This window comes from Homo sapiens, chromosome 9 (assembly GCF_000001405.40).
Source record: "Homo sapiens chromosome 9, GRCh38.p14 Primary Assembly".
In the NCBI taxonomy this organism is placed as follows: Eukaryota; Metazoa; Chordata; class Mammalia; order Primates; family Hominidae; genus Homo; species Homo sapiens.
The window spans coordinates 41,297,386-41,312,639 of NC_000009.12; positions in this window are offsets into that span (position 1 = coordinate 41,297,386).

Genomic DNA, 15,254 nt, shown 5'->3' on the forward strand with positions numbered 1-15,254 from the left:
ATGATGGTGGTAGTTGATTCTTTGATTTCCTTAGTACCAAACTTTAAGGCTTTTGTAAAAACAAAACGAAAAAACTAGGAGCTTGGAACATTTAAAAATTAACGCTGCTACCATCAATTCATCAAATATTTACTTAGAACCTTCATACATTAAGATTCTGGTAACCAATAAATTAGAATTTATTTCTTCTGCATAAAGTAAATTTTCATACACTCGACCTACTGAGACAGCAAAGGTGTCCTAATTTGAGGCATTTGTGTAATGCCTACATAACTAAATGGTAACTAAAATGGGACAGCATGGGGCAAGACCTTGTAGTTCTTCACAGACTATTTGTCATCAGTTTCTCCAATTAATTTGCTGCATGAGCCAAATAACCATAATTCACCTTTTGTACCCACTGGAGCCATAATTAGAGAATCAGAGGGTGTAGACAGAGGTTAATGCCAATGACAAACACAGGGCAGGATTTATTATTATTATAAAGATCATTACATACAAAAGATTTTTTTTTTAAATTCCTAATTCTAACAAAGGGGATCAACCAGAAATGAAACTAAGCTACTTTCTGAAGTGACACTGTGTCAGAATAATCCAGATTTGAATATAACATTTTGCCACCCACTGACATTTAGATGAAGGACTGCCTCTCCGGAAGAGTTCAGAACATATTCAGGGGTGAACCTAACACCAGGGAAGAAAGACTACTGATGAAAATATTTTTCCACTTTGAACAAATCTGTAAACTACACCTTTCTTTATAGAAAAATGCTTGGAATAGTCACTGTAATATTTAGCTGTGGATAAAAATTTGTGAAAATAAATACTTTTGAATTAGAAAAAGCAAGGAAGAAGAATGGGGTTGATAGGATGTATATTTAAAATAGATTAACCAGGAACAACTGCACTGTGTTTTATATATGTGTGATAAAATATGTATAATTATATATCACTATATATAATAACTATATCTTTATATCTGGTGCAGGTGAGTAAATAACCCCATGCAAATATCTGGGGAAGGAATAGTCCAGGCACTACAGGAATATCAAAAAGGCCAATATGACACAAGCAGAGTAATGACAGAGTGATATGGAGTGAGGAGCAGATGAAATAATAAGAAAAGTAGGCAGGTCGTTTTGAGGGGTATGTGTCTCAAATTCTAATTTGCATATAAATCACCAAGGTTTCACATTAAAATAAAGATTCTGATTCAGGTGGTCTGGAGAGTTTATATTTCTTACAAGTTTCAGGGGATGCTGGTGCTACTGGTCTGTGTATCACACTTTGAATACCAAAGGACTGGAGATGCGTGCATGGTAAGGAGCTTTGGGATGTGAGTAATGTGGGTTGAATTGTGTCTTCCCCAAAAAGATGTTCAAATCCCAACTCTCAGTACTTGTAAATATGACATTACTTGGAAATAAAATCTTGCCTAGTCAATCAAGTTAAGTGGATTCAGATGGGCCCTTATCAAATGACTAGTGTGCTTGTAAGAACGTGGATATTTAGAAAAACACACAGTGGATAAAGTATGTGAAGATGAAGGAAGAGAGTGGAGTCATGTAACTACAAGCCAGAGAATGCCAAGGATTGATGGCAACTGTGAGAAGCTAGGAAAAGACAAGGAAGGATCCTCCCCTGGAGCCTTCAGAGACCATGACCCTGATGACACCTTACTTTCAACTCCTAGCCTCCAGAACTGTGAGAGAATAAATTTCTGTACTTTTAACCTACTCAGTTGGTGGTAATTTGTTGCAGTAGCCTGAGGAAACTAATACCTTGAGTGGGATGGAGAGTGAAGTCATTGGAGGGTTTTAAGAGAAGAATGGCTCGGTCTGACTTATTCTTAAAGAATCACCCTAATTGCAGAAACAAGAATAGACTGAAGGCAAGGGGCTACAGGGAAGTAGGAAGACCAGTTAGGCGGCTATAGCAGTAAACCTAACTGGAGAGTGGAGAGATGGTGGTTTGAATCAGGGGGGTAGTGATGGTGGTGAGACAGGAACAGAATCTGAAGATGTTTTGAATTACTACTGATAAAATTTGTTAACATAGTATGAGCTATAAAAAAATGAGGGTGGCTGGGAATGGTGGCTTACTCCTGTAATCACAGCACTTAGGGAGGCTGAGATGGGTGGACTACCTGAGGTCAGGAGTTTGAGACCAGCCTGGCCAACATGGTGAAACCCTGTCTCTACTAAAAATACAAACATTAGCCGGGCATGTTGGCAGGTGCCTGTAATCCCAGCTCCTCAGGAAGCTGAGGCAAGGGAATCACTTGAACCCAGGAGGTGGTGTTTGCAGTGAGCCAAGATCATGCCATTGCACTCCAACCTGGATGACAAGAGTGAAACTCCATGTCAAAAAAAAAACGTAGAATGATTTATAATACTTTGGGTAGAAACCTAGTAACGGGATTGCTGGGTCAAATGGTGTTTCTGGTTCTAGAACCTTGAGAAATCACCACACTGCCTTTCACAACAGTTGAACTAACTTACACTCCCATCAACAGTGTAAAAGCATTCCTATTTCTCCATATCCTCTCCAGTGTCTATTGTTTCCTGACTTTTTAGTGGTCGCCATTCTAACTGGCTTGGGATGGTATCTCACTGTGGTTTTGATTTGCATTTCTCTAATGACCAGTGATGTGGGAGATCGGTCAGGGTGGTGGGAGAAGCTATAAGGAAAGACACAAGCCTTCTTGAAAGGTTGGAAGGTCTTGCAAAAGCTTCATGAGAGAATAAAGGTGAAGGAAGAAAATTCTCTTTCTCTGAGGCTAAGGGTGAGAAGTAGGTGCAAGGAAAAGTGAAGAAGTTTATCTAAATATGCTTGTTTACTTATGTCATCAGGAAACTGACTTTTGAACTTCTGAGCATGAGACTGCTCCCTGTAAGAGGGAGCAAAAATGTTAATTACCCAGCAATTGTGTTGACTCCAGGCCTTGGACGTTATGCCAGTACTGAATAAATACAAGCAGCTCTGGCTTATCGAGACTGCTAACTCTCCTCTGCCCCTAGGGCTCGCAGCCTCCTAGCCTGCTCTTACCCTGTATATTTGTGTCTGAGTACTCCTTTCTTCTGTTGCTCAGCCAGGGTCTGCGGGATGGACCCGGCACAGTGATGATGAGCTTTTTTTCATGTTTGTTGGCCGCATAAATTTCTTCTTTTGAGAAGTGTCTGTTCACACCCTTTGCCCACTTTTTGATGGGGTTGGCACAAGCACATGTATGTTTACTGCAGCACTATTCACAATAGCAAAGACTTGGAACCAACCCAAATGCCCATCAATGATAGCAGCCTGGATAAAGAAAATGTGGCACATATATACCATGGAATATTATGCAGCCATAAAAAAGAATGTGTTCATGTCCTTTGCAGGGACATAGATGAAGCTGGAAACCACAGTCTCAGCAAACTAACACAGGAACAGAAAACCAAACACTGCATATTCTCACTCATAAGTGGGAGTTGAACAATAAGAACACATGGATACAGGGAGGGGAATATTACACACAAGGGCCTGTCAGGGGGTGGGGGGTAAGGGAGGGATAGCATTAGCAGAAATACCTAATGTAGATGACAGGTTGATAGGTGCAGCAAACCACCATGGCACATGTATACCTATGTAACAAACCTGCATGTTCTGCACCTGTATCACAAAACTTAAAGTATAATTAAAGAAAAAAATAGGGCTGCCAAGGGTATAAACAGGGTGTTTCGTGGCTTAATAACTGTATAACTATAAGGATGGAGTCTATTACCTCCTGATATGAGGAACATGATGAGAGAAGGTGAGAATGGGGAAGATGCTGGGTAAGTGGGGAGAATAGTAGGAGATTAAGAGCTCTTTTTGAGGTATGTTCGCTTTGAGATGCCTATTTTGCCTGCAAGTGGAGATAGTAATTAGGCTACTTGGCATAAGTCTGGAGTCCAGAGCATAGGTCTCCACTGGAGATTTATCTGACATGAGTTATTAAGAGAAATTATGATGTTTGGCAAGCATGTCCTTAAGTTGTGAGATTAACATCAAGAAGGACAATCATGTACTTCTAAAACATGGTGTTCAGTGTCACTTATTTGAAAACATACTGGGCCATTATTTGACCTGTGACAGTTCTGACATTCATTCTAAGACTACCAGATATGAAAGTCAGGAGACTGATTAGTTTCTTTTTTGGTGCTTTTCTCACTCTAAACTTCAACTTTCCATATCATTAAAGCCACTAAGGTAAACAATTAGCCTAAGAGGTATATTCATTACTTTTTTGCTGCCTTTAAATTTGATGCCTCATTGTAAAAAATATGACCTCACTTGTATTTGTGTGGATGATATTTTAAAAGATCATACTGGGCAGAGAATATGGACACTTTCATTATTTAATACTTTAGACTAATGCCAATCATTCAAACATGAATTCTTCATTCATCTGTCTTGTCAAAGAAACAGAGCTCATATTGCATATGTGAAATATCACCTAGTGTCTATTTCAATCGTATATATTTTCTGTTTGTATCTTAGAAAAATTATTTCACCTCAACAAGCATATTGCTTGTTGGAATTATCTGGATATAGTGATAAAATAATTATTTTCATCAACATCTGAAGAAAATGCCTATGTATCTGTTGGGATGGGAGGTGGGATGGAGAGGTGTGCAGTTGTCTAGCACCACTTGTGGCTGGGAAGGTATGTGTGTCTACAGTAACAGAAAAATCTATTGTTACCACAAAGATTCCCCATAGCTCCTTTAAAAATAAACCTGCCATCTTGATCTCCATCTGCCTGAATCTTTGGGTATCTCTCCCTTAGTTCAAAATTCTGACAGAGAATAGAAGCATATTTATCAATCCTTCAAGCCCCAGTAGAAACATCAGAGGGAGAAAACTTACCTATTTTGAAATGGTTGACCAATTCTCAGTGACAAAGCTACAGTTACAGTCTGATTTTCTTGTCCATTGCCAAGAAAAAATGATTCAGTCTGACTCCAATTTATAAGGGCATGTTGAAAGCAAGAATCCTACTTGTAGAGTTTCTTCTTCTAGGCATGAGGAATGGTTATTCCAGGTAATGGATTCCTAATTTGCCCTTCTGTGGAACTAGATTTGCATGACAGATGACAGAATATTTGTCACCTTAAGATTCTTGAAAAATTAATTTAAAGCCATGCTATTTCTAATTGTTTTGGCTTATGCTCTGAAGTTTTTTTTTTGTTTTGTTTTTTGTTTTTTGTTTTTTTGAGACAGAGTCTCGCTCTGTCGCCCAGGCTGGATTGCAGTGGCGCAATCTCGGCTCACTGCAGGCTCTGCCTCCCAGATTCACGCCATTCTCCTGCCTCGGCCTCCCGAGTAGCTGGGACTACAGGCGCCCGCCACTACACCTGGCTAATTTTCTGTATTTTTAGTAGAGAGGGGGTTTCACCGTGTTTGCCAGGATGGTCTCGATCTCCTGACCTCGTGACCCGCTCGCCTCGGCCTCCCAAAGTACTGGGATTACAGGTGTGAGCCACCGTGCCCGGCCCTGAAGTTTTTCTAAGGCTGCCAAAATTGTGGTCACCAACATAATAGGTAACATTTTTCCATTATCCAGTGTAAAATATATATAATATGTTATATAATATGAAACTTAATATATCTGCTGGTGCATATAGCTTTATTATCATATAAGCTATATGAAAGCAGAAATATGCATTTAAATTCAACATTTGCAAAATGTTTCCTTTTTTTTTTTTTTCTTGAGACAGAGTCTCGTTCTGTCGCCCAGGCTGGAGTACAGTGGTGTGATCTCGGCTCACTGCAACCTCTGCCTCCCGGGTTCACGCCACTCTCCTGCCTCAGCCTCCTGAGTAGCTGGGACTACAGGCCCCCGCCGCCACACCCAACTAATTTTTTTGTATTTTTAGTAGAGACGGGGTTCACCATGTTAGCCAGGATGGTCTTGATCTCCTGACCTCGTGATCCGCCCACCTCAGCCTCCCAAAGTGCTGGGATTATAGGCATGAGCCACCGTGCCCGGCCTGCTTTTAGCTCTTACAATCGAGGGTAAATCTACTTATAAGGGTGGATTGCAGTATGCATGTATTTGAAGAAACCTGATACACATTGCTTCATTTTTTCATACAGCCTTAAGCAGATTATTAAATTTACCTTTTTATTTGAGTACTAACACTTTTCCTACATAGTTAGAGAGAGCTGTTTGCTCAGTTAATGCAGCAAAGGGATGAGGGTAAGAATGTGTGACAGTTAGCTCATTCTAATTTGCTTATTGATTGTTGGACATATTCCCTCAATTACTTGACCTCAGCTCCTATATTGGGGCTTACATTAGGTGAACACCCAGGGTCTCAGGGCTCCACGTGGGTGTTTGAAATCACTTGTCTAGATATATAAAAGAGAACAGGATATACTCACCACTTGCTTGGACACATTTTACTGCCTAAACGGTTCATTTACACTGGCCAGTGATGCATTACTTCTTGCCCCTAAGTGTTTCTCAATCTGTGTTTTGTATCTAAAATACGCCTTTTTCTCCATAATCTTTTAAGTTGTCTTTTTTTGCTAGCATTGCTTATAAAATCTCATTTTCTCCAAGAAATCTCTCTTGAAGCTTAGAAAAACAAAATTGGGGTAATATTTTCTAGGTAAATAGGCACAATTCTATAATTCTATATTCCATGATTTGTATTAAATATAATATAAATATTGATACATATTCTTTGTCTTTCAGAATAGGTATGTTATGTTCATATGTGTCAGGTTGGATCAGTATTTAAATTTTACTACTGAGATAAACAAAGAGTTATTAGCAATTTTTAAAAGTTGCTGTACAATTTGTCATATTTCATTGTGCTTCTTAATGACAAATATGTCCAAGATTATATTGGGAGCTGCCATTTTCTGTACTTTATCCCCAGATTTGGGAGTGATACTTATTACAGCTTTCAGAATTTCAAGAAATAGTAGCACTACTTTTAACTAGACTAAAGTCTTTTGTTTTTCTTTTGTATAACTTTCTGGACATTTGTAAATTCATAGGATGTCTTCCTCAAATCACAAAATGCCTATCGTCTAATTCAATTGGGAGGTCAGATACCGGTTTAATTCTGGAGCCATATGAATATTGCCTGAGTTAATGTTATAGCTGAATATCATGCAAATGTGGAAAAAGTCTATTGAATCAATGTCATTTTATACATGGAAATAAGCAAACAGTTGTAAATAATATGGAATATTAAAAATCTTTCTAGTAAACCAATGTTTATGTTTTTCAATTGTCTTGCTAAAGAAACATAGCTTCTTTTACCATGATGGAAAATATTGTGCTGGAAATAAAGAAAATAACAAATTTTGGGTCTCAGCTTAGGTTATCAGTTACCTAGTCTTAAACAAATGATATATCACCAGTGAAATTTAGCTTTTAGACATCAGTAAAGTAAGAAAATAAGCCTTGTTTACCATGAAATTTTATGCAAAAATTAGGTAATATTTAACTGGACTTATAAAGGACTTCTTTTTTCAAGAAACAATAAGAAAATGACCTGAAATAGTATAAGTTTTTATTCATAAGTGAAATTATTGCTAATTCACTTTACAATAGTCTACTTTTATTAATGGAGATCCTTGCATATTAAGACTTACAATCCTATTAATAATTGCTCACCTACAAATGACATTTGTCAAGGGATCAAAGTCTTCATGTACCACATAAAATATTATTATAACAAAGTAAACCAGCTGTATGCCTTTGATCACTACATCAATATCTAGATCTTTTAGCTTCTATTTCTGTTCCATTCTGCTAGCCAAGGGTCTTTATAAAAATACAAAGGAAAATGAACAGCTAGTAACACATTTGATGTGCCACTCTGATGGACTTCAGAATGCTTAATATCATCTTGTTTAATTTCATGTTTCAAAAAGCTTCTCAATGGCAGGATCAATTACTTTCAATCTCCACATCAATCAGTCCAGATGGTTCTCATGATTTGCTAAGGATAGCTGCAAACTGAACTTTGTGAACCCACGATGCATATTGTGTTAATCCTTGATATGGAAGGATCCTTCTGCAGAATAAGCGGAGCTGAAAAAGGTGTGCTTACTTTCACAAACTGAATGTTATTTAAGGAATAAAAGGTATTCTTTAAAGTGTTAAATCCAGATGAACACTGAAAAATACAGTCTTCAGAAAAATCAAGTGATTTCACTTCTGTATTCATTGCTGAAATGAGAACATCATTTCATTTCTAATTCTAATTTGAATTTTGATTTAAGGTTAAAAACACTTTAGGATTGTTTCGTATTGCAGAATAATCTGTAACTTGTTCTGTAAACACTAGTTGCTAGGCTAAAACAGTGAGTTATATTTCTTTGTGTATGATACTATTTGTTTATTGTCAATTTTTCCTGAACTCACCAGTAGAATATATTTTAATTTGAATAATTTAAGAAGCAATGTCACCAATATGGCTAGAACAATAATTTCACTTTTGTTACTAATTTAATTAAGAAGGTGATTTTTAGCAATATCCATTTCTATTTGGTTGTGTTTTTATCTATTTCAATTATTTTCTATATTGGAAGTAATTATGAATTTTAATTTTCATACAGCCCTCTTATCTTTTACTTAAAAAATTTAATGTTTAATGAATTTGGAGGGAGGGCCAACCTTCATTCTTACATTTATTTATACATTCAATGGGAAAGCAGTACTATTCTCCTGAATGTTCAAACAAGCAATGGAAATTTGCAAGAGAGAAATAATTTAAAATTTTCATCACATTGTATTGAAATTTCTTCTTTGTTTCCGTTTTTTCACCAGATCTTGAGCTCTTGAAGATGCATTGCCCATAGATGGTCTTCATTAATTTAAGCAATGTTTTCAGGGCAGTTATTCTGTGAATATGCCTGTAGGATTTAACTGGTCTTTGAATTATGGATATTATTTGGAAAGCTGGAGAGGAGAGCGAAGGACACTATATAGGTAGGCAAACATCTTGAAATTTTGAAACATTGTGTAATTATTTTACACATAACTGCCTGGACATGACCAACAGGTATAAGAATAGAATCTGTTGGTTGCTAAAACTACATTTTTAGTTAATGTCCAACATGTACCAATAGATGCCACTGAAGATCTTCTATGAAGTTCCTCCTAAGAGTCATAACTGGTGAACACAGTTCATCCATGGGGAATACAGACTATAACTTACTAATGGATTTAGGAAGGAATCTACCTAGCATTTTTGGGAAAATGTGAATAAATCAACCTGATCAATGTGGTGGGCTCCTCTAGAAAATAGAAAAAGAGGGTTAGGCTAAGTAATGTGGAGATTTGAGAAGATAGATCTGGGGTGATAGAATATTAGATATAACAAAGGCAGTCTCTTCAACTTTACCAAGTTTTTATTGTCATTTGTGCTGGTGTCTATCAAATTGTATGTGACTGCTTGCTTTCAATATGGCAAATGCATCTTCAGAAACATTATAACTAAGATAACTTTTCCAATAGAGTGCAAAATGTGCATCTCTAGAAAGGTTTACTCAGAGAACTCTGGCAATACAATGCCACATACATGCAGCGTTATGATCTTTAGTTTGATTTCTCCTTCCCTTGACCCTGAATAGGACTCTACAGTCAAGGAAGTTGAATGGAGAAGGAATTTGAGACGTCAGGCTGTGTTTGTTAAAAGGGTTTTATGATGTCTTCTCTTTGAGTAAATATACTGGCTATTGTATCTTTCTTCCTTCCTTCCTTCATTCCTTTATTGTATCTTCCTTCCTTCCCTCCTTCTTTCCCTGTTTCCTCCCTCCCTCCCTCCCTTCCAGCCTTCCTTCTTTCCTTCCTTCCTCCCTCCCTCCCTCCCTCCCTCCCTCCCTTCCTTCCTTCCTTCCTTCCTTCCTTCCTTCCTTCCTTCTCTCTCTCCTTCCTTAACTCCCTTCTTTCCTTCCATCCAGAATTATTTTTGAGAAACGCTGTGATGTGTCAGTTGGTAGCACATTCTCTGGAGCTGGTTGCTTGGATTAAAATCATAACCCTTCCTCCTATTAGCTATGTGACCTTGAACAAGCTACTAGGCCATAAATTAGGACTAATAATGGCATCAATATGATCCTGCTATAGACTGAATTGTATGAGTTAATGTATGTGAAGCATTTTTATATGGTAAGAATTGGATAAAATACAGTTACTATTTTATTTATTGAATACTTAGCATTTTTTAGCTTTTTATTTTGAAAAGATCTTAGATCCATAGGGAGTTTCAAATACAGAGAGGTCTCGTGTACTATTCTACACAGTTTATTTCAAGAGTTACATCTTGTATAATTTAGTACAATATCAGGACCAGGCATTGACATTTATACAATGTGAATTCATAGGTCTATGCCAATTTTATCACGTGTTGATTAATGTGACCATTATTACAATTAAGTTACAGAACTCTTCCATCACTAAAAGTGTCTTCCTCACATTTTATAGCCATATTCATCTCACACTCCCATACCATCACTAACCTCTGGAAATCACTAATCTGTTTTCTATATGTATGTTATTTTATTAAAGTTATATACATGAAATAATATGCCATGTGTCCTTTTGATATTTGCTTTTTTTCACTAAGCATAATGCCCTTCAGATCCATGCAAGTTATTGCATGTGTCGAAAGTATATTCTTTTTTATTTCTGGGTAGTATTTAATCATATGGATATACCACAGTTTATTCAACCAGTCACCTGTCCAACATCTTGGATGTTTCCAGTTTTTCTCTGTTAGAATTAAAGGTGCTATGAAAGATATTAAAGATCGCATATAGGTTTACATTTCTCTTAGATAAATTTCCAGGGGTGCAATTGCTGGATCTTATTATAAATATATGTTTAGTTTTTAAAGAAACTGATAAATTATTTCCAGAGTATTATAACATTTTACAATTCAAATAATGTATGAATGATACAGTTTCTTCATCATTGCCAGCTTTTGTTGTCACTATTTTTATGTTTAGTTGTTTCAATAGGTGTGTAGTTACCTAGTATTTTGATAAGAGCTGAGGATACAAATTTGAGTTGATCAAGAAGTCAAACAAATAGAAAGCAATCATTAAAGATTACAATAAAAATAAACGAAGTGAGGAGACTGCTAATAACCAGGGAAGGAACTTTAATTAAGGTATTTCAGAAAACTTCTTAGCCGAGATTTCAAAGAACAATGATCTAATTTTACAAAAAGCCACAGAAAGCTTATTTTAGAAAGAAAGAGAAACAAGCACAAAATTCTAGAGGCAGAAAAAGGGTTGGCATATACAAAGACTGTGGAAATAATTAAGAATGTTTTGGGTGTGATAAGAAAAGAAGGGAAGTGTATGACATGTGGTTGGAGAGGTAGGTAGAAAACATCAAGTCAGGATCTATGGTCATTAAAAAGAAGTTGGAAATTTTTCTTTATATTAGCAGAGGAAAGCCAAACAAGGACTTAAAGCAGAAAGTAGGGAATGAAGAGTCAAGATCTTGTGTGCTTTAAAAAAAAAAAAGCCACTCTGACTACTGTGAAAATAGAGCATTTAGGGAGGAGATGACAAGAAGGGAGGCAGATTTGCAATGCATTGTGGTATTCTGACAGAGAGATGGGTGTGGCTTTGAGAAGTGTTCACGGAAGAAATGGAAATCTTGGAAATGGAGAGTCATGGGGAAAAAAAGAACCTAGGTCGACCTCTAGGTTTTGGGCATGAGTCATACAGGCACAGTGTAGTACCATTTATTGGGATGAGAAAAGCTGTTGAAGGAATTTTGTTTTGCTTCGTTTCAGTGCGAACACGTGCAGCAGTCAGCTTGATTTCAGACATACTAAATTTGAGTTTTCTGTTAGATACGCAGGAGATTTCAAATAGGAGATTGGATATATTAGCTAAAATATTGCATCTGCAAGTCTCTTTTTTCAACTGATCTTAGATGGATGGATAAATAAGATAAACCAGTTGAAGTCCAGTGGAAAAATATTCCATTAAAATAAGACCTATTTGGGCTTCTATTATGATATTTTGCCCTTTCTTATCTCTGTGACTAGAGTGAATAATAATAATCAGAGATGCAGTTTTCTCACCTGTGCAATAGTAATATCTATTAGATATGCATAGTGTGGAAAATTAGCTAAACTCATTCATACAAAGTAACTCTGACATTGAAGGTTCTAAAATTAACAACATTTAGAATTTTAATCTTCCATCTAGTTTTACCATTTGGAGTATATAAGGAAACCTAGAAAGAAACCTTATATCCACTTGTCTATCCTATAATATTTGCACATTATAGGGTATAATCTCAGGGCATAAATACAACTTTTTATAATTCCTATAGAGTGATACTCTTAGGCCAATATTACTGATCTTGAAAAGTGGGGTATTGAGGTATTTTACTTGGTTGTAAGCCATCAACGTGTTTTACAAATGTGATATTAGGTTTTGATATTAGTAAAAAAAAGAAGCTTCAAAATGTCCTCTCTTTCTTTGAATGCAATCACAATCATTTCCTTTTTGAATTTTAAATATAAGTAACCTAAAACTTAATAACTTGCTCACAAGTCTAGAAGCAGACAAAATATCACCCACAAACCTGATTTATAATACTACGTTAAACTGACTTAAGGCTTTAGACATTCATAAACATCTTTTAATCTATTCCCCTTTTGCATGGATATGTAAATATATACTCCAGGAGGTATAATTTTTGTAGTTATTGTAGTGCTTTTGTAATGAAGAACTAAGTCTATTTTCACAGTGATAGAGAATTGAGTTGAGTTCTTTTGACCCTGGATGGATTTGTCTATTTTTTAAGGTGCTACTTAAAAATGTATAGGAGAAAATAAAAATAAATTATCTCTTTCATAAGTTAAAAATATTTTACATTTCAGCATTCTGAAAGCACAGAGGATTCAACAAAAATGATGGTTTAGAATCAAATTCAATAAAGAAACATCAGCTTGAGATCAGACTCTCTGAGGAATGTTTTTTTTTCCTGATGAATCTGAGCCATTCAAGGTCCTTATAAATAAGTGAGAGCACCTTTGATTTTTGACTTTTTATAGTTAACAGTTTCAGTTTGCTAATACAAAAGACCTCATGCCTTTTCATCCAGAAAACAGAGAACACTTTCTATTATGTAAGAGTATTATGTTTGAAGGAGTATGTTTGCTTCAACTATGCGTGCTATGGTACAGAAAGAAAAACCACCTCCCTGTAGGTCTAAATCCAAGGGGTTTTCAATGTATTTGGGTTAAGTTATGTTGTAAGGTTATAGCTCTCTAAGATTTTTACAAGATGCATTATTAAACATGAATCTTCTGTAACGTGTACAGCATATCTTGTATAAAACAATGCAATATTTTCTTCTAAGTATGGGATGGCTTTGGTCACCCATGCTTAAAAAAACTTTGAAGAGACAATTCATCTTTTTCCTATGAAGCAATTTTTATTAATTGACATAATTCTTCAGCAGTCAAGCTATTACTGTCATTAGGTAGTCCTTTCCTTTATTCAGAAGCCCAAGAAGTTAGTAGAGGTTTGTATACTACGCACCTTTCACCAGAAAATAAAAAGGGAGAACTTTAAGTATTTGACATCATCAAAAATTAGGTGTTATGGTGCTATGCTTAAGTTTTGATATTATATATTAATTACATTTCCCTTAGTACTACCTCCTCTGAATTCTTGAGCTTGTCAGTAGTTGAAAACATTTGAACCTAAACCATTTTTGCACATTCAGAACTAAATGTCTGGGTAACTTGGGAATTAATACTCTACAACCTGTGATGGAGCAGGGAGCAGGGTCAGCTGTCCATTAGCATCTCTTGTGAGGTCTCTCCATTTTCATAAAGAGGCTTGAGAAAATCTCCAGATTTGCCTGAGGGTAGACACAAAGCAATACTCAGTTATACTCAATGTTATCAACCTACTGGACTTGGTATAAAAGACTTTTTGAGCACTGTATTGCCTATTAAAAAACAGTAAAGTGTAAAAGATAGTTCTTTAGACAAATTGGGCCACGGAAATGCCAAATCATTAGTTTTGGTGTCTGTAATGCCTCACAAAGTTATAAACTTTTATGAATAATTTGCTAAGAAATTAGCTCTAATGACAGGTAGTTTATGTATATACCTTGATAACATCTACAGGTATCTTATGCACATGACATTATAGAAATATTTGTTTGGGTTTTTCTCAACCAGTCATTTTCTACACCATAATTCCAGCTCAGCCCACTCCACTTGCAATTGCTTGCTCTCATCTTCTAACTCCTGTTTATTCTTCTCAATTTCTGCTGTAATGGCTTCATTTAACCTGCTCCTCTGTATCTTGTATGCTTTTTAGTTCACTGCTTATTTCCTTCTTCCTGCTGGAAAACTTGGCTAAATAGCTCGTATTAATATTTTAGCCTCATTTGGCTTTAAGATTATCTCATAAGGATATCATATATAAATGGTAGTTAATATTTCTGAGCACCAACTTCCCTTACTCCAGCTCTCAGACTTCTTCCCATTGTTATGACAATTGAAGGCTTTTTAAATTCCTGTCTTAGGAAAAGTGGCCCAAAATTTGCCATAGATCTATGATGTTTTAATTAATACTGACCTCTGAATGATCTAGAAAATAATGGTAAACCATGTATACATATTTGTGTGTGCACATGTGTGCATGTATCCATAGCATCTGTGTGTGTGTACATTTTATAGATTTTGTCTTTGTATGAAGAAATATATTGAATATCCAAATAAGCATAATTTCTATACAAGTGAGGTATGTGGGTTAAAATCTAGTGAACAAAATATAACTATACATTCATGATTTGGAAACCTTTTAACATGATTCCTGAGGAATTACTCAATTGTTAATTGTTTCTGCCTTCTCTACCAAATGACTAATATTTGGACTGAAAAGAAAAAAAGAGAACCTCAGTAAGGAAAAGTGGAATTTCTGTAGGTGGTAACTCTGGAATATCCCACCAAGAGAATGAATCAGATTAAAATAATGACTGTAGAAATTTCCTTGTTAGTGAATATTCAGCCTGGCCTTAAGGAAAATGTAGCTCTCTCTTACTGCTTTGTATCTTATTTCTTTTACTATGTCAATTCTCACCTTAGTAGAACTACTACTAGTTCTAGTACCATGGCTATCATAGATGCAACCATTATATTCCATTTAGTTTCTTCCTCAGGTTCCCTAACAATTGTTTGAAACTGAATATATATGTTTATGTATGTGTGTGTGTT